The sequence below is a fragment of the Homo sapiens genome, chromosome 22 (assembly GCF_000001405.40).
Source record: "Homo sapiens chromosome 22, GRCh38.p14 Primary Assembly".
In the NCBI taxonomy this organism is placed as follows: Eukaryota; Metazoa; Chordata; class Mammalia; order Primates; family Hominidae; genus Homo; species Homo sapiens.
Window position 1 is genome coordinate 49,042,353 of NC_000022.11, and position 20,156 is coordinate 49,062,508.

Genomic DNA, 20,156 nt, shown 5'->3' on the forward strand with positions numbered 1-20,156 from the left:
ATCTATGTGCTCAAAGCAAACGCGTAATTTTGCATTAACCTGACACGTGGTGCTTGATTATGTTAGTGTTTGTGGTAATTGTTTTTGAATTTTTTTTAAGATAAAGGGGGCAGAGAGTGCATGGCAGCAGAACGCCATTGACAGGAAGTGCTTATTATGTAATTATGGACTTTTTAATATGCATATTTTTCTCTGTGGTTGGTAGCAACTAGATACATAATTACTGAATTTTAAAGAAGAATATTAACTACAAAGCCTTCTGGCTGCTGAAAAGTAGGAAAGATTCTTGCCTGGTTTGTGGCTAAATTCTCTTAACGATTCAAGGCCTGCAGAGGTGAGGGTGGCCTCTGAGAGAGTGATGAGAACCGGTGCCATGGGTGTGAAGTTGGTGCCACTGAGGGTGCTTTTAAGGAGCAAACGCACCTTCTGATTCTCCAGCTAGCATGGGAATGGTTTCAGTCTGCCTGGGCTGCTGTAACAAAATACCCTGGAAATTCATATCACATAAACCATGGAAATTCATTTCTCACGGTCCTGGAGGCCAGGAAGTCAAGGTGCCAGCAAAGTCAGCGTTGGCTGAGGCCAGTGCCCCATAGAAGCGGGTGCTGTGCGTGTCCTCCTGCAGAGAAAGGGGCAAGGGAGCTCTCTGGGCCTCTTCCTTAAGGGCACTAATCCTTTTCATGAGGGCTCTGTCCCCTGGCCTCATCACCCCCCAGAGGCCCCACCTCCTAATACCATCACCTTGGGGGCGAGGATTCGACAGACACGTTTTGAGGGGACAGAAACCTTCAGACCACAGCAGGAATGATGGAAAGCGGAATGATGTCCAGAGAGGGGCTGGGCTTGGAGGTGTCCTGGTGGTAACTTCCAGGAGGGAAAGAACAGTCATTGGGTGGAGATAAAAGCGAGGGTAAGAAAGATGTCAGGCGGAAGGGCGGCTGCCGGAGGGCTGGATTCCAGAGGCCAGCGTGGCTGAGGCAACAGGGAGACCAAAGCAGAGCAAGGCGGAATCTGGCAGAATCACACAGACTCACACAAGAGCACAGGGCCCAGAAGCAAAGCTAGTGGCATCCCAGAAGAGGCTCCCTCTGCTCCCCTCTGTGGGAGATGCCAGGGGCCTCACGCCAGGCCTGGGAGCTGCTTCCCACTCCAGGTCCCCGCACACGTGGCTTCCACACTCAAAGCCTGACGTCCGTTCCTGTGCTTTCAGGTGAGCAGGGGCCTGACCAGGCAGTGGGGTGAGGGGCCCAAACCCAAGCATCTGCCGGCGGCCACCAGATCTGCCCGGCCACCTCTCAGGAGCCCTCCCCCAGGTTCCTGTGGGCACCCAGGCGCTGGGGCTTGCCCTGCCCCTCCGTGTGAACAAGGGTTCCAGGATGCAGAGGAGCTGGGGCTGGGCAATCTGAAGGGTCGGCTGGGCGGCTGCCCCCTCCCCTTCCTGTCTTCCTTTAGGAGTGGTGGGGCAACCCTGGGCAGGTCTGATGTGGGGCAGGCAGACCCGAAAACGGGGGCTTAGCCCAGGTCTGTTACTGGTTTTGCCCAGGAAAGAATTCAAAGGTGAGCAGGTGCTGTTAGCAGCTTTTATTGCAGCGGCAGCAGAGGGGCTGCCCCAGGACAGCAGAGTGCACAGAAGAGCAGCTCAGAGGCAGCTCCGCATCATAATTACACCCACTTTTAACTACATGCTAATTAGGGGTTGGTTTATGCAGAAATTTCTAGAAAAGGAGCAGAAACCTCAGGGTCATTGGGATTTTACCGTGGGAAGTGGCAGTAACTTCTGGGTCTTGCCGTGGCAATGGTAAACTAACAAGGCTCACCGGCTGGCACGTCTCACAGGCGGCTGCTGCCACCGGCCCTGTTTCAGCTGCTCCTCCACGTGGTCTGGTGTCTGTGCCCTGCCTCGAAGTCAAGCCCACCTCCTCCCTCAGGTCCTTGGCACTGCCTGTTGGCTTTGCCCTGGCAGGTGCACTGGGGGACGCAGGGGCAGCAAGGCTGCTGCTGGCGCAGGCATCCCCGTCCCTAAGATGCATATGGAAGGCGAGTGGGCCTGGGTCTGACCTTTCTCACGTGGTTGCCCCGTGTCTGCAGCCAGCGTGTGCTCCTCAGGCAGAGCAAACCCTGTGTATCTCGAGTGGTGACCAGGCGGTGCAGCTTCACACTGCTACTCTCCGCATTCCATCTGTTCTCCTCCCCCATTCGTCACCACCCAGGTGACACTTGCTGAGGAAATGTCCAATGTGACCTGAGGCCCATGTGGGGGCTCCACCCACCTTCCACCTTTGTCCTGCTCCTGGTCACTACCCTCCATGGGATGCCCGCCATGGCTGTGTTTCTTTCTGGACCCACAGGGATCCTGCAGCTTTAAAAGGAAATCCCTCCCCTCTCAAACCTCTGAGCCCTCTGACCAGGCAGGGGAACTTGATTACAGCAGAACCTTCTCTGTACCCTCAGGTCACCCTGCTCCTCTCCTGTCCATGGTGCTAGAGTCACTGGAGACCTGGCGGCTCTTCAGGTGGCAAATTAGGCCAAGCGGCCACTGCGGTGCTGAGCGGTCCATCCTCCGGGCGGTGCTGACCAGTCCATCCTCTGGGCGGTGCCCGTCCATCTGCTGAGATCAACTCCCACTGCAGGGCTGTGCTGGTGTCTGGGCCGGGCACTGGCCCCTCACCCCAGCCCTGAGGGTTCACGAGGACTCAGCCTTCCTGGACTGGGTCGCACCTTCTCTTCCTGACCTCAGCTGCCTGCCTCCAGCTCCATGGGCTTTTGAAGACAAGGGACAAGAGATTGCTGACTTCTGGAAGACCAGCTGTTGTTGGCGAGGGAATCAGGCAGACCCTCTTCCTTTTTCTTGTCGAGGATCCAGCCTGAGGGAACCTCCTTCAGCCTCTCTGGCAGGTTGTCCTGCCTCCTGGGTCCCACTGTCAAGAAGAGACGGGTTTGCTTTTGACTCTGACTTCACGCAGCTCATATGGTGCCTTCCACAGCAAGGATTCCTCAGCTCCTCTGGGTCCTTCTCCCCGTCCCCGTGGTCACGGCCACCCTGCCGTCCAGGCAGTTTCCTTAGCAGCTTCCTGGGCCCCCGGCTGTATGAATTCCCTCCAGTGGGCTCTGAAGCCCTTGATCTTTCTTTTCTCAGCATTTATCATGGAGGGTGGAAGTGAACCATCTGCCAACAGTCCTCTGCTCAGGCACAGCACGGGGCCAGGCTGGGCGTGTGATGGTCACGGGCCTGTGTAGTGTCCCTGAATAGGTAGCAAATAAAAGAGTGTTCATTCAAGGTGTGCTGAATGAACGAATACATGAAAAAACGCTTGGGGGTGGGGAGTGAATGGATTTCAAATTCTCAGGCTGCACTTTCCAAATCCGACACAGTCACATTCAGCCGCTTGTCAAGACTGTTTGACAGCCACCCCTTTCCCGCATTCCCGGCCCCCTGAGCAGCCACGGCTGCTGTCACATCTGCCTCTTGATGTTGCTGGGCCTGGAGAGTTACCCATGCACACTGAACATCAAGGTCAGTATTTTTAGACGCAATTCTTTAATTTTTGAAAATGCTCCAAAGAGATTTTAGTGATGGGAACATATTTGACAAATATAAATAAATGTAAGAGCTATAGAAATAAACTTCCCTAAAACCTCTCCGTTCTATTAACCATCTCCTGGAGGCCTGTGCACGTGTTCTGTGGAGAGGATGGGGTACCCCACAGCCCCTGAGGCTTGGGGAGGGAAGCCCTGGGGAGACCAGTGACAGAGTCGATGCAGGAAGTGCCATGTCCCTCCTGGGGCCTAGAGCCTGTACTACGTCATCAGGCTAAGACCTGAGACCGTGCCCTGCCCTGGACTCAGGGTTCCGAGGAGCTGGCAGAGCCCCCAGGGGTGGGGCAGAGCCAGGAGAGCAAGAATCTCCCTGACAGGTGGGAAGCATGTGCCTGTTCACCCCTATGTCCGGCACAATGCTTGGCCCTGCAGGTCAACAGGAAGGTGAGTGCAAGGGCGCTGCCCTCTGTGAGCTCACAAGCCAGAGGTCAAGACCCTCAGACAGTGACATTTTGAGGGGTAACGCTGGGAGGCATTTGCAGAGCCCAGAATTGGGGTTCCCCGTTGGGACCCTGACCCTGGAAGGGGCCTTTGACCTGAGGGCAGAGCTATGAGCAGGTGTGTGGGGCTAGGACAGGAGCCTGCTCCCACAGGGAGACAGCACGCACACATGGCCTGGGCCGGGAGCCTGTGAACCGTCTGGGAGCTGGAAGCGTGGATTCAGAACGCCCAGCCATGGAGATTAGGTGGGGAACAGGGGAGCTACTTAGTGGAGCACGGACCAGGGACACCCAGGAGCCTCAAGTGCTCTGTGCTCCGGGCTTCCTCCAGAGGGCGGTGGGGAGCCACTGATGCATACCCCCTGTAACAGAGCTTGCAGAGGGAGGCTCCTCCTCCTCCCTCCCACCCTGTGGCCTCAGCACCCTCAGAGCATCACCATCTGCCTAGTGGCCGAGGTAAGAAGCCAGGACTGTTCCCAGTGCCTTCCTCTGGGACCCTCCTCTGACACTGTGCCTGCTGGACCTTCCTTTCTTGGCCGACGGCACCCTGGCTGGCATCCCTGCGTCTGTCCTCTCTACGTGGCACTGGCTCACACTCTCGCTCCCTTCACCAAAGCCCCCACCTGCGGCCCTGTCTCTGGCCTTTCCCAAGGCCACAGAGGGATCTGAATCAGTGGGGTCAGACCCAGCCTGGCTTCTCAGCTCCTGGATGGCTTCCCATGCTCTCAGGCTGAGCTCTCAGCTTGGGGGGCTCACTCTCGCCCCAGCCTGACTTTCTCTGTGTGGGCCTTTCTTGTGCTGACTGGCACCCAAATCTCTCTCCAGCTCCTTTATGTTCCCATCGCTGTAGTCCAACACCACCTCCTCCAGGGAGCCCTCCCAGATCCCTCAACCCAAGGTGGACTTTCCCAATAGCCCCTCAGGCCACTCTGCACCCTTCCTGCACAGCTACCATGAGGAACCTAAAACAACAACTTATTCAACGGGCAACAAGTGCTCAGTAAATATTTAAGGAGACAGTGAATGAATGAATATATTTCTACCCCCTCAGCTCTCTGAGTCACACAGTGGACAGTCCATAGGACATGAATAATGTATACATTTTTAATGGAATTAAAGTACACTCCAAGCATTTTTATCCTGAACACTCATGCATACACTTAAATTAAATATTGAAATAACCACATGCACAAAATCTTCTGTGGTCATGGTTCTCATCCTGCATGAATCACTTCTGTCCAGAAGCGGGCATCCCTGTGTAACAGCCTTTGGAGGGCGTGGGAACGGACAGAGTTCATGCTCTACAAACATCTGAAAGTGGCGTTGACTTCCCTGCCTGCCTGAATGAGTGTGCAATGTAGATAAATCCTCTTTTGACTAACAGGTCTATGCTGGCCCATTAGGATCCACAGGAATGAACAGGAATCCCTTCGGGAATTTTTCAAGGCTTACAGGGTATATTTCCCATTGCTTCCGTAAAAATGTAAAGCTGTTCTTTCTGCAGTCTTTTGCCCGAAGCTATCGGTCTTTTGGGGTTTAGCAACCACCCTGAAAACCTGGACACTCATTTGAATTGTTGCATCTTCACCTTGTGAATATTCTGCGCCTCTCCCTGCAGGTTCAGGAGAAGAGGTCCAAAGGCACCACCTCTACTTGATCGCAGTGAAACTTCCCACCACAGCCCCTCCAGGGAGCCACAGCGTTCATTGCTCACTCACAAATAGTACACAGCACACACGAGAAAAGTTAATTTACTGGTTTACCTACTTCTTTTTCTTCTCCCGCTTTGCCCTGTTTGATTCCATTTAAAAATGTTTCTACTTCATCCATCAGTGAGCTCCCTGTGTCGGCTAGAAAGTCTCTTTAGAAGCGTGTTTAGCATCTTTCAATACCGATATCTATTTCAGAGACTCTTTGCTCCTCCAATATCTGCCTTATCTCCTTTACTATTTTTCATTATTTGTCCCAGCTATCTGCCTCATCACTGTCTGCATTTTTAATATCCTCTTTGTCTCCTCCACTTCTGTATATTCTTGTTTGCTCAGTAAGCCTTATTCAATATTTCATTGTATGTGTTAACTGTTAACTCAGCCCTAATTAATCTCACTTTTCAACTTGGTTCAGTTTAAGGTTCTAGACATGTCAATATGAAGGGTGTATCTGGGGGGAGCGAGAAGTTCAGCAGCAAGGGTATTTACAGTGCCACATGCAGTCTCATTTTCTCGCAGAAATCCAAATTGCTTTGCCTTTTCCTTCAGAGAGCATTTTCCTTTGTTTCCGACTTGCCCATTGGGCGCAGCACACCTGTGTGGACACACTGTCGGCACACACGCTGGCCGGTCCTCCACCGAGGGTCAGGAGCACTGAGGAGGCATCTCCCTGGCCACGGGCAGTGCCACAGGAGCTGCACTCAGGCTCCCAACCTTCACAGGTGCGTAAGGTGCACTGGGGCATGCTCAGAGCCCCCTGTCATCTGTCCACGCGGGTGAGGACATGCTGGGTGGTCTGGTGGCTCAGTATGAGGCAGACCACTTGACTGGGATGGTGTCTTCAGGAAATCCTGGAAACAAGACAGAGGTTTGAAAACCTCACTGCAAAGACACAATAAGCTACGTATACATAGTGGTATACATATGCACGCACATACATGCACGTCCACAATCCATGTTCCTATGCACCTGTTCCTGCCCATGCAGGTTCATGCACACATATTCCCTGCAAATGTTTGTCAGGCACCTGCCAGGTGCCTCATGCTGTTCCAGGTGCTGGGATTGAGCCATGAACACCTGATACAGACAATGTCCCTATTCTTACAGATCTCGTATTCTAGGTGTCCCTGTTCTTACAGATCTCATATTCTAGAGACTAGAGATGGAGAGATGGTGACAAATGAGCAAACACATGTATACTACATTAGGAGAATGTGTGAGTCCATTCTCACACTGCTAATAAAGACATACCCGAGACTGGGTAATTTATGGAGGAAAGACGTTTGATTGACTCACAGTTCAGCATGGCTGGAGGGGTCTCAGGAAACTTCCAATCATGGCAGAAGGGGAAGCAAACACATCCTTCTTCATGTGGCGGCAGCGAGGAGAAGTGCCGAGAAAAAGGGGGAAAAGCCCCTTATAAAACCATCAGATCTCACGAGAACTCACTAACACGAGAACCGCAGCATCTGGGTAACCACCCCCATGATTCAATTATCTCCCACGGGGTACCTCGAACAATACGTGGGGATTTATGGGAACTACAATTCAAGATGAGATTTGGGTGGGGACGCCAGCAAACCATATCAGAGGGCTAAGTGCTGAGAAGGAGGGAGGGAGGAGAGCAGATGTGGGCATACAGATGTGAGAGGCATACCTTAACCAAGTGTCAAGAGAAGGCCTGCCGCATCAGAGCTTTCAGTCAGAGCCCTCCAGTAGGAGAGTGAATTCTGTGCACAGCTAGGAAACATCTCAGCGGCAGAGACAGGGAGCACGGGGTCCTGTCCAGATGTCCACACTGCACGGATGCGCACACACGGTGAACAAGGGTCTGTGCATGCTCACACAGCGAACCAGCACATCTACCCAGATGCGCACATCTGTGCATGTACACTGGGCACAGGACTCTGCATCCAGATACAAGCGTGTGCACAGAGACGCACAGGAGGCAGATGCACGTGCAGAGGATGAGAACCTGAGCCCACGGACCAGGCCAGCCCAGCCTCCGTGTTGGGCAGCAGCCCCCACGTCCTCAGGCGCTGCTGGGCAGTAACAGAGGCACCAGGTAAATCTTTATCTGGTGGAAAGGCAGCATCTCATTTGACCTTTGAAAAAACGAAACATTCCAAGCCCAGGGAAAAGTGAATAATCTATAAAACAGTGACTCCCTACCACTCAGATTTAGTCATTTTTGAAATATTTGCTTTAAATATTTTCCTAAGAAATAAAACCTTGCAAATGTAGTTGAAGGACTCACCTCATATCCCTGAAGGCTGCCATGGTCTCCACCTGGTGCCCCAGACCCTCTGAGATTTTCCAAAAGTTCACGTGTAGCCGGCCTCCCTCCCTTTCCTTTTCCCAAATTCTAACACATGTGTGTGTTCGTAAGCCAGGCGGAGTTAGATTTTCTGTGTTTTACTAAACAGACAAATCATGTTGCAGGTTTCATTGTACACCTTGCTTTAACAAATGTGTCTTTGATATTGATCCAAATTGTTACACAGAGATGCAGCCCATTCATTTTAACTTCTTTGTAACTTTCCATCGGAGGGATAAGCTACATCCATTCTGGGTTTCTGTTTTCTTTATGACAACCAATTCTTCTTTCGGCACTTGGCTTGATACACGTGAGTGAGATGTTGTCAACTCTTCTCCAAAATGTCCTTGCACATTTACAATCTCATCTCCTGCAGGCTCCTGCGGTTTCCCTGCTCCGTCAACAACGGGTATTGTGGAACTTTGTACTTTTAGAAATCCCATGGATACAATGCGGCATCTCATTACAGTTTTAATTTTCTTGATTAACAGTGTGGGGGAACATATTTTCTGTGCTTGTTAACTAGCTCTTCAAGCTCCCTGGTTTATAATGATCTGTCCTTGTCCTTCACTCAGGCTCCTGTAGAGGAGACGAAATCATTTTTCTTAATGATTCATAGCAATGCTGTGTATGTTTTGAATATGAGTTTTTGTTTTTCATATGTGTCACAAATATCTTCTGGATCTGTGGCTTTCATTTTCCTCAGAACATGCTCTGTGATACAGGAGATTTATTTTTCATGTGGTCGTTTTAAAATTGATTTTTGGCCCAGCACGGTGGCTCACGCCTGTAATCCCAGCACTTTGGGAGACCGAGGCAGGCGGATCACCTGAGGTCAGGGGTTCAAGACCAGCCTGGTCAACACGGTGAAACTGCGTCTCTACTAAAAATATAAAAATTAGCCAGTCGTGGTGGCGGGCGCCTATAATCCCAGCTACTCGGGAGACTGAGGCAGGAGAATCGCTTGAACCCGGGAGGCGGAGGTTGCAATGAGCCGAGATCAAGCCATTGCACTCTAACCTGGACGACAGAGTGGGATTCCATCTCAATCAATCAATCAATCAATTTTTACTTTTCGGATTGTGTATAAGAAACTCTTTCTGTTCTTAGGTCGTAAAGACCGTCTCCATCGCTTCTTCCGTTCGTGCGGTGGCCTCTCCTCTCACCATGGTGGCCTGGAGGCACCCAGATTTCTCTGGCCACGCGGCGCTCCAAGTCAGGAGTCAGCGCACAAGCCACGCGCGGACACCAGAACAGCCTGGAGGAAAAGCAGCCTCGTTCTGTTACCTTCTGCTGGTTACCCAGAGCCCGGTCCCTGCAGCCTGTGGGGAGAGACACAGACCCCCACTCTGCATCCGGGCGGAGTCACCCAGCGTTTACCCGCGTGTATTTCAAACTGCCGCAAGGACTACGTTTACTTTTCTCGCCCTGCTTCCGTGTTCTGCCATTTTTGAGGTCTCCACCACGGTCCCCTGGCCCCGGCCTAGACCCGGGCCTTTCCCCAGGGGTCCTGCTCCTCCGTGGCCCTGGACCGCTTGGCCCCTGTGCTCCTCTTTCCCTGGCTCCAGGATGCAGCCAGCTTCTCTTCAAGAAACTCAACCCCGGCTTGTGTTACCCCGAGGGTGTTTCCAGGCGTGCGAGGGGTGTGAGGGGTGGGACTGCACAGCGCGTCCCAGCCTCGGTCCCGGGCCCGGCCCCGGCAGACTCTGGAGAAGCCCAGGAGCGCGTGTCCCCGCCGGCCCCGCTCAGCCTGACCTGCTTTTCCCCACAGAGGTGCCGGGGTTCGGTGCAGTCTGGCCGTGTCCTCCTCTTCTCGCGGTTTCAGATTCTTCTTGCGTGACATTTTATCACACAAGACCGTGTTCGGGGATGGGGTGTTCTGAGCACGCCCTTACCGAGCCAGGCTCACCCAGTTCCCCATCTAGAGCTCCCTGCTGGCATCTCTCACCTGGGACCCCAGCCTGCAAGACTCCGACACCCACGCCCTTAGGGTGATGTGGCCGCGCCCAGCCTGCGCTCAGCACCACGGGAGGGAGGGCGGCAGGCGGAAGCCCCGGCCATCTTGGGAAGGGCCTTTTGGGACCGTGTGTTCCGCTGAGAACCACAGACCCATGCTTCAGACGCTACAGATTTCTCTCTCAAATGCCTGGATTCAAAATATAAAAGTGTGTTTGAGCAAACAGCAAAATATTTGGGAAATTCTCCCAGCGAGGCTTCTAATGACCCCGTAGGAAAAGCCAGGCTGCTCCCTGCTGCGCCTCCAGCGAACTTCCCACCGGGCAGGACTCTGGGAAGAAGAGCAAAGGGTTCTATTTTGCGTAGAATTTAAATAAAATTGCTTCACAGACGGGAAACGTCAAGCAAGCAGCACTCTGAGCCCATGCGTGCTTTTAATGCCTGAATGACATCGCAATTCAGTCTGAGTTCCCGCCTGGGCTCAGGGCCTTCTGAACTGCCGGGGGCTGTGAAATGGTTTATAATCAGAAGAGAAGCAGTGAGAGTTTAGATCCAAGATCCAAGGAAGTGTTTTCAGACTCAGTGTTAGCACATTTGTGTCTATACCAGTCCAGGCAGGAGGCTGAGGCAGAAGAATCGCTTGAACCCAGAAGGCAGAGGTTGCAGTGAGCCGAGATCGTGCCACTGCACTCCAGCCTGGGCAACAGAGCGAGACTCCATCTCAAAAAAAAAAAAAAAAAAAAAAAAACCACCATCAGATCTCGTGAGAAAGTACTGTCAGAATAGCCTGGGGGAAAACCACCCCCATGATTTAGTTACCTCCCACTGGCTCCCTCCCATGACACATGGGGATTATGGGAGCTACAATTCAAGATGAGATTTGGGTGAGGACACGGCCAAACCATATCAGGCTTCCACCCTCATAAACAGATTAATGTCATTATCGAGAGAGTGGGTTTGTTACCTCAAGAGTGGGGTTTCTAAAGTGAGCCTGGCCTCTCCTGCTCGGACTCAGGCCCTGGCTCCTGCCCTCCATCCTTCTCCCATGGGATGACCTTTGCCAGATGCCAGCACCATTGTCCTGGACTTTGTAGTCTCCAGAACTGCGAATGAAATAAATCTCATTTCTTTATAAATTACCCAGCCGGTGGCATTTCATTACAGCAGCAGAAAACAGAATAAGACAGTGGTCCTCTCTGTTATTTCTTGGTGTCTGTTTTTATGAATTTAAGGACATAATTATAGATTTTCTATTCATTAGCTTCTTTAGGTTTATTCTGTTATTCTCTGATGTTTTAAGTCAAGCTTTATTTTAAAGTTTTTCTTACTTCCTACATATGTTAAAGGTGACACATTTTCATGTAAATGAGGGATTTCTGCTAACCGTAGCTTACGGGAACAGAGCCACACCTCTTCATTTTCATACTGCCTGTGTTCGCTTTCTGACCAATCCAGCAGAGAAGAGGAGATGCAACAGAGACTATCCCACAAAGCCAAATATATTTTTATTTTTGTTTGTAAAAAATATTAGTAATAATATTTTTAAATGGGAAATGATCATCATCTGCACTTGTGAAATGCCATGTGGTATTTGGATGTATGTGCAAAACATGGAGTGATTAATTAAAGCCAATTAATATATCCATTGATTCTCTTAGTTATTTTGAAATATACAACACATTATTGTTAACCAGAGTCACCTGCTTTGCAGTAGGTCTCAAGCATGCTACTACCTGCCCCTCCACAAGACAGTTTTGCTAGTCACCTGCTTTGCAATAGGCCTCAAGCACACTACTACCTGCCCCTCCACAGAGACAGTTTGCTGACCCTTCCTAGGTGAAGCATTCTCTGCATTCACTCCAGAAGTCTCAATATGCAGCATTTATGTGGTCATTGTGTTTCAAATATTTTCAAATTTTGATTGTAATCTTCCTTGATTTACGATTCCTTCAGAAATAGGTTTTTATGGTTCCATATTTATGGGGCTGTTTTTCTCATTATTTCTAATTTCGATATGTGGAGTTCAGAGAATGTAGTCCATAAATACTTATTTTTTTAGTAATTGTTGGAATTTTTCTAAATGTCTCATGAATGCTTGATTCTTAGGTTCACAGATTTGAAGCAGCTATTATAGAAAACTTATTAATTATCTTGACAAGAATCCTTCGCTACTAATTTTGGGTCTGTGTAGCCACTTTAGGATTGATAGTTGTGTCGAACACTCTCATCATGATTTTGTATTCGTGTTTTTCTCCTTGAGTTTTTATCCATTGCATCCATTTGAAATTATGTTAATATACTAAGTTTCACAATTATGCTATGACCCTGATAAATAATTTCGTTTCTCGTGATGCAGTGGCTCTCTTTATTCTTGATAATGTGGTTTGATTTAATATCTATTTGTCTGGTATAATCGGGCGATTCCAGCCTTGCTTGGGTTAGTGTTTTTCTCATACTTTCTGTATCTTGCTTTCATTCTTTCCATGTTATGTTCTTTTTGATATGTCTCTTGTCAACAATGCATGTTTTACATATGTGTAGACACCTGGGGAGGTAGATTTCCTATATTTTCTCTAATAAATTTCTTTACTTGCATTTCTTTTAGTTAACAATGTATTAAATTCAGTTATGCAACCTTACTTAGGGCTTTGTACTACCCGTACTTCTAAGACGTCGCTCTCTTGAGCTTTTTACTGGTTTAGGTAGTATACATCATTTCTATTCTTTAAGCAATTACACCTAAATTTCATAATATCTACACTAAACCTATCAACATCTAAATGTACCTAGTAACTTTAACTCCCTCTACAACTATACAAAACCTACACAACATGTTAACTCCAACAATCTCCTTCCCATTTTACAAGGTTTCTCTGTTGAGGTTTCATAGAGGGCCAATGAAAAACTCCATTCTGACCCGTGCTCAAGCTGAGCCAATTTAAAAATAAGACAAAATTAATGCTTATTAAAAGAAAGCTTGAAGGTAATTCCTGGAGAACTTGTGACACGTTTGGAAAAGGTTGAAGGACTGGAGCTGGGTGGGCTGGTGGCTTTCAGAAAAGATGTGGGACACGTAAAGTGAGACAGGGCCAGGGACAGGAGAGGAGTCTCCTGCTTCTCTGAAAGTCCTTCTCCGTTTCATCCATGTTGAGTAAGTGCCATCATGTCTGGGCACTCAGGACACAATGGTGAATGAGAGTGCCCCGGCCCTGTCTCCTGGAAGCTGGGGTTGATGGGGACCTCCCAACTGCAGGCCAGCGGTGCCCTGCCCTCTACTGAGCATAGGGACACGGGGTTCTGGTCTCCTTAGCACCCAGGCTGACCCCTCTACAGGAGCCTCTGTGATGAGGACCAGGGACGGCACCTGCATCACTCTCAAAGGGAAATTCATCTCACTCCCTCCATCCCTCCCTTCTCTCTCCTTCCCACCCTCCCTCTCTTCCTTCCTCTCTCTCTCTCTTCCTCCCTCTCTCTCTCTCTTCCTCCCTCTTCCTTCCTCCCTTCCTCTGCCCCCTCCACCCTACCCTCCCTCCCTCCCTTTCTTTCTCTCCATCTATTATGGACTGAATGATTGTGAATCCCCAGATCCCTCTGTTGAAGCCCTAATCGCAGTGTAACGCTATTTGTGGATGGGGCCTTTGGAAGGTGATGAGGTCATGAACCCTCACGAATAGGATTAGTGACCTTGGAATAAGAGACACAAGATAAATGATTCCCTTCTGCCACTGAGGACACAACGAGAAGGCGCCATCTCCAAGCCAGGAAGGGGGCCCTCAGCAGACACCGAGTCAGCACCGTGATGATCCTGGGCTTCCCAGACACCACACCTGAGAGAAATAAATGCCTAGTGTTTCAGCCCCCAGTCTATGGTAATTAGTGATTGCAGCTCAAACTAAGACACCCTTCGCCTTGACATAACCATAGCGACACTTTGGATAAAACTTCCTTCATTTTGGATGTGACTCTGGACACTTCCTGGTCTTCGTACACTGCAGACATGAAGTGTCATCCAGCGGCATGTGCTGGACTGGGGCACCCTTGGTGTTGCCTTCATACACTGCAGACATGAAGTGTCATCCAGCTGCATGTGCTGGGCTGGGGCACCCTTGGTGTTGTCTTCATACACTGCAGACATGAAGTGTCATCCAGCTGCATGTGCTGGGCTGGGGCACCCTTGGTGTTGTCTGCTGTCACACTGGGAGCCTGGACCCTGCGGGCAGGGCTCACAGAGGTTGCAGGGCCATCCTCTCGTGGAAAATGTCTCTAGACTGCTTTACTTTTTTGATCCTTAATAAAATAAAATACACTTTCTTAGCTCCCTATTCTTGCATACTTTTTCCTGGGGAACCCAAGGACCCAGCAGGTTAGAAACACAGGGTGGTCAGCTTGATGCTCCAGGAGGCAGCCTCCAGGGGGGCTGCTGTGGGCAGTTCCTCCACAGCTCACACTCTGCAGAAGCCGGGTGAGTGTCCCTCCTAAATACTCCGGAGCAGGGTGCTCCTGGCCCTGACCATGGCATCATGGCCCTAGGATTGGGTGAGTGCTCCTCGTCAACGCTCCAGAATAGGGCGCTCCTGCCCCTGACTATGGCATCATGGCCCTAGGATCAGCCTTTCACTCAATCTTGGACAACGAGTTTTTCTTCCAATGTGGTTTAGCCTTGGTGGTGAATGTTGTTGCTCCAGCAGCCAAAACTGAAGGTGCAAATGCAGGAACAGTCAGCCCCACCCTGCTGTGTGTGAGGATGATGCTGCCCTGTGCAGTGAAGAAAGCAGGGTGCTGCTGGAAGCCAAGGCTGAAGGTGGCTTTGTGTCTGGATCCAGCTGTTCCTGAAGCTGCCTGTATTCCTCTCTTCCCAAGAGCCTTGCTCTTCTTACTCTGCCCTGGCACATGCAGTCTTTACGCAGAGACCTTCAACATTTCTTTAGATCACATAGAAGCTCTTTGGAAGTTTTAAAACAGCAACCTATAGGCCGGGTGCTGTGGCTCACACCTGTAATCCCAGCACTTTGGGAGGCCGAGGCGGGTGGATCATGAGGTCAGGAGTTCAAGACCAGCCTGGCCAACATGGTGAAACCCCATCTCTACTAAAAATACAAAAATTAGCCAGGTATGGTGGTGTGTGCCTATAATCCCAGCTACTTGGGAGGCTGAGGTAGGAGAATCACTTGAACTCTGGAGGCGGAGGTTGCAGTGAGCGGATATCGCACCATTGCGCTGCAGCCTGGGCAACAGAGCAAGACTCTGTCTCAAACAAACAAACAAACAAAACAACAACAACCTATAAATACGAGAGATCCAACACAGGTCTCACGAGCAGATGCTGCTCTTCTGAAGCCTCCACCAGCAGGAGGCCACTTGATGCCTTTCAGGGGACCAGGGGAAAGGCTTCCTCTCTGCACTAGGGATGGTGATTGCAGCTGCCAGGGGAAATTCACTTCCTCATTGTTGAGTTGAATTGGATTGAATGTTAAATGATTTCTGAATCCTTACCTCCTGTTTTAAAGGAGAATTTTCTCATTACCAAAGAGCATTTGTTGAGCATATAAAACACTTGGAATGGACTGAAGCTGGGGTGTAAATGTGGAGCTCTGAGCCTGCTTCCCCTTCCTGTATCTCAAAGAAATAAGCCCCGGATGGCTCGCAGCTCCTGTGTTTGGGACCAATGTGTCTTCTTCAAGTCAAATCTTTCATCAACATCATCCTCTATGGATGTCTCCCCCTGGTCTTCACCCCGCCTGGCCCACGGCCGGTGCTTCTCGCCTGGGCTTGCTCTCATTCAGGCCACTGGAAATGCCTGTGGCTCAAGCACCAGGTATTTTTGAAAGATTTTGAAGACGGGGTTATCTAACTTGGCATAAGAAACATGAGAAATGAATATGAAAAAACCTTAACATTAACAAAAAATGCATGCTTACAGGGTGGTGGGCTCCCTTGCAGAGGAAGCAGGGTGGCCGTCCTGGGAGCCGGCCACCGTCCTGTGAGTCATCTGAGGACAGCCGTTTCTTTCCACTCCATATTTCTCAGGACCTGGCCAAGGGCAGTGAGTGGAAAACAGGGAAATGCCACATTGGTCGAATGAGTGATATGGGAATAAGTCCTTCTTTGGGTAAAGTCGCCAACGTCACAATCCTGCACATAGGGGAAGTTACCGAGGACTCCTGCTTATGTACATCTGTGCAAGGGTTCAAGATGGTTTCTGTTAGAGCCTGGGCTTGAACATTCCTCTGTCTCCCTTGAGTGCCGATGTGGGCCCCTCTGACCCTATGCACCCCATCCATGAGCTGCTGCAGGACTGGAAGAACCAGTCCTTGGGGTCAGGAAGGCAGGAGTTCGAGCCTGGCTTTGGTCAGCTACTGAGACACCATGCTGCAAAGCTCGTCAAGACTCAGTCTCCACATCTGTAAAGTCGGCATAAGTTTCCAGTGCTGGAGCCTCTGATGGGATTCCATAACTGACATCCCTCTTCCCTGGCCAAGATCAGAACACCTTGGAAAATGAGACAAAGCTCTAAAGAATGGTACAAACCCAGCCTCTGAGGTCCTGAGGGACCCACTCGCATCCCCAGGGGCTGCCCAGGAATCCCACCACCCAGACCTGGGGCCTCCCAGGGAAGTCTGCAGAGAATGAGGACTCAGAAAGGGTTTTAATCAACATATATATAACTAATAATAGAATTTATTCTTGGACCTTTTTCTTTTGGTATTGAGAGCTTAACTTGAAAAGGTTTTAGTTTCTCCCCAAGACTTTGATAATGGGGCTGGGCACTGTAACTCACACCTATAATCCCAGCACTTTGGGAGACCAAGGTGGGTGGATTACTTCAGGTCAGAGGTTCGAGACCAGCCTGGCCAACATGGTGAAACCCTGTCTCTACTAAAAATACAAAAATTAGCCAGGTGTGGTGGTGCACACCTGTAATCCCAGCTACTCAGAAGATTGAGGCAGGAGAATCGCTTGAACCCGGGCAGCAGAGGTTGCACTGAGCTGAGATCGTACCACTGCACTCCAGCTTGAGAGACAGAGCAAGACTCCGTCAAAAAAACCAAAACAAACAAAAAAATCCACAAGACTTTCATAATGGGAGTGGGCTTATGAAGGTGGACCCTGGTACAGAGTTAGCATTTTCTTATTTGATGGCTTTATGCATTCACACTGATGCTGTCATTTCATCCCAGTGCAAATCCTCTGCTGGGTTGCAGGGACTCCAGAGATTGATACGGTAAGGAAGGAAAGAGAGAAGGGAACACGTTTTCAGCTTTGGCTACAGAGTGTCCACTTGAGTGGACAGCTCTCTGCTTCCCAATGCTTTGCAGAGTTCACGAGGACAGAGACCACTTACAGAGTCATTTTACACCTCGCGTAGCAGGTAAAATCCCTCTGTGAGGCACTGTGGACTCAGCCAACATCCTCCTTGCTGGGGCTCATGTCTCAGTTCACTTCCTCCATTTTTTTGGGTTGTCCCCCATCATATGTTTAGCAAAAGGTGCTGATAAGAGAATTTCCAAGAGATGTCACTGGAGGAAAAGAATATGCATCAAGTCTGTCCTCTCGTTCCACGTGGGCATAAAGGATCCTGGCTTCATGGGGCGTGGCGGAGAAGGGAGGAGATTTCCTTTGCAGGGGACTTGGCTGGTGGTATGATGCTGTCACCTGCCAAGCGTCTAATGCTTCATAGTGATTTTAATTCCAGCAGCATGGGATGGGAACAGAGCACAGGGCAGTGAGTTTATCTCCCTCAGAGACAGATGACACCCAACCCTTCTTCATTTCTGAGGACAGCGTGGTTGGCAGAGGAGCACCCAGAAGGGCACAGCTGGTATTTTCAGAGGGTTTCCTCTGGACTTGGTCTGTCTTCTGCAGTGGGGAACCATGAAGGCGCCTACCTGTAAGTGGCCTCCGTTTCTCTCCTCTCACTCCATAGTCGGGCTTTTCTCCTTCCACCCTCCAGCCCTCCTGCCCCAGAGGAGAGCGGCACAGTTCGCCCTCTGTCCAGGTGAGCCCTCTTCCCTGCTCTGAAGTAAGCCAAGACTGTCATAGTTCACGTGGATAAAATTTCAGATGTTTGGTTTGTGTGTGTTTGCGTGGGTAGACACATAGATAGTTTCACATAAAAATGTCGATTACATTTTGGGCACAATCTCATAGATCATTTTCCTTTTTACTTGCTGTATGAGACACATGTTCCGATATCAATGAATGGGTGCTCCGCCATTGCCAAGAGCCACATGGCACTGGATTATGTGGGTGCACCATCATCTGTGTGACCGCTGCACTGTTGCTGGACACATGCTTGCTTGCTAACTTTTTTGTGTGTGGGGGGGTGCGGGGACGGGGTTTTGCTCTTGTCGCCCAGGCTGGAGTGCAGTGGCGCGATCTTGGCTCACTGCAAACTCCACCTCCCGGGTTCAAGCCATTCTCCTGCCTCAGCCTCCTGAGTAGCTGGGATTATAGGCGCCCACCAACATGCCGGGCTAATTTTTGTTTTTTCAGTAGAGACGGGGTTTCCCCATGTTGGCCAGGCTGATCTCGAACTCCCGATCTCAGGTGATCCACCTGCCTCGGCCTCCCAAAGTGCTGGGATGACAGGAGTGAGCGTGGCCCTTGCTTGCTAACTTTTCAATGAGAAAGCACTGCAGACACACCCCTTCATACTTTTCTGACCACTTCCTTGGGGCAAGTCCATGGGAGTGGCCTCTCACTTTTAAGCACTGTGTCTGCAATGCCAGTGGTACCTGCAATCTGCCTGCCCAGTTTGCAAACCAGCCAGCACCTGTGGGAACTAGGGAGGCTGGATTCCTGCACACACGGGTTGGGTGGGAGCCATGGATGCTTTGTAATCTTTGACAACCTCACATACGTGGCCAGAAGTCTTTCGTATGCTGCCCTGACACAAGGACGTAATTGATGTGCTTGTTTTCACTTTTATTTCTTATTTGGTAAATGCCGATTTATTTTATTTAAGGATATTCTTGGTAGCCCTTTTTGAGAGCAAAGGCAGTTTGTCCTTAACACTTGCATCTGGCAACAATAGACATAATAATAATAATAATGTGTATCTGGCACATAGTAGAGTCTCACTGAAGGTTTACTAAGTCTATCCATTAGCACAGCTAGGAGTTTCACTACAGGCTTAGTTTTGGGCTAAGACGTTAACTGTGTGGTTTAACAATGATTTCTATGAATTAAGCTATAAATTTTCTGAACCTAAGCTCTGGGGCAATTTGGAAATGCCTCCTATCCTCAGATAAAGCCAGCGTGCATTGACCTTGAATTTCAGTAAAGCTGAAGGGACAGGAGGACTGATTTCCCTCCAAATGACAATCGCTAAGAGGCAGAATCAGGCTCGATAACCATTAGGAGGTAACGACTGTGAACTTGGTGATTTTAATGATTTCAAATAAATTACTCCAGGAAAAAGAAAATCTTTACTACATTTTACTTTGGGAGTACTCCCCCCACCCTGAAATGGATCACAGACATCCAAATAGCAGCAAAATTAAAAGGAGGTGGATGTGGTGTGTTGCCTTCTTTAACTTGTATTTAAAGTCGTTATAATGATGGACTCTAAGACCTTATATGCTCTTTATGCTTTAAAGACTCTAAGACTTTATATGCTCAGTGTGTGCACTGAAGAAAAGTTGACTTACAAACAGTATTTTTAAAAAACAATGAGGAATTTTATCATTAATTCCTTTAAATTTGTGAACAGAAAACCCCTGCGCTCCTGAGTCTCAATGCCTACATGGGTCTGGACACCAGGGATGGGAGCAGACGTGTGTGTGCTCCGCAGCCAGCCCAGCTGGCAACTGGGGAAGAAATGGAACCGTCATGAGGTCATTTTGAGCCATGAGGCAGCCCCTCAGGGGACCAGATGGGTGGAGAAGCCCACCTTCCCCTCCTCCCCTGGCTCTGCCGAGGTGGCCTCCCTCTTCCATGAGGCCCATTGCCTGGAGCCCACATCTCAGGGAGGGTGGCACAGGCAGAGAGACCGGGGCCCAAGGCCCCCTTGCAGAGTTCCTACATAGAAATGCAGGTTCTGTGGAGCTGACGGTGCCGTAAACAGCGGCAGGTGCAGAGTGACCACAGAATTCCGCAACACAGATGGTGACGGGGTGAGGGCCATGGAGAACCAGC

The 20,156-nt window shown here is 49.9% G+C and overlaps 1 long non-coding RNA gene across 10 annotated transcripts, besides 2 other annotated features; it reads right to left on the reverse strand.

Moving 5' to 3' along the window:
* Positions 1-1,566: 1,566 nt before the first annotated feature.
* NHIP (neuronal hypoxia inducible, placenta associated) lies at positions 1,567-10,033 on the reverse strand. 10 transcript variants are annotated; one of them, NR_183582.1, is made up of 5 exons: positions 8,004-10,033; positions 7,404-7,851; positions 7,043-7,111; positions 6,236-6,597; positions 1,567-3,242 (listed from the first exon to the last, which is right to left on the reverse strand). It is a non-coding gene; the product is annotated as a neuronal hypoxia inducible, placenta associated (long non-coding RNA). The 10 variants fall into 10 exon arrangements; NR_183583.1 differs by lacking the exon at positions 7,404-7,851; NR_183584.1 differs by lacking the exon at positions 6,236-6,597.
* Positions 6,255-6,411: a silencer, noted in NCBI's record as "fragment chr22:49444419-49444575 (GRCh37/hg19 assembly coordinates)". NCBI's record gives its function as "represses an EF-1alpha promoter that drives an FKBP-Casp9 reporter gene in an ReSE screen in phorbol 12-myristate 13-acetate-treated (for megakaryocytic differentiation) K562 erythroleukemia cells {active_cell/tissue: K562(+PMA)}" and the evidence as "EXISTENCE:reporter gene assay evidence [ECO:0000049][PMID:32094911]".
* Positions 10,000-10,079: an enhancer, noted in NCBI's record as "active region_19277". NCBI's record gives its function as "activates an Ori minimal core promoter by ATAC-STARR-seq in GM12878 lymphoblastoid cells {active_cell/tissue: GM12878}" and the evidence as "EXISTENCE:reporter gene assay evidence [ECO:0000049][PMID:35858748]".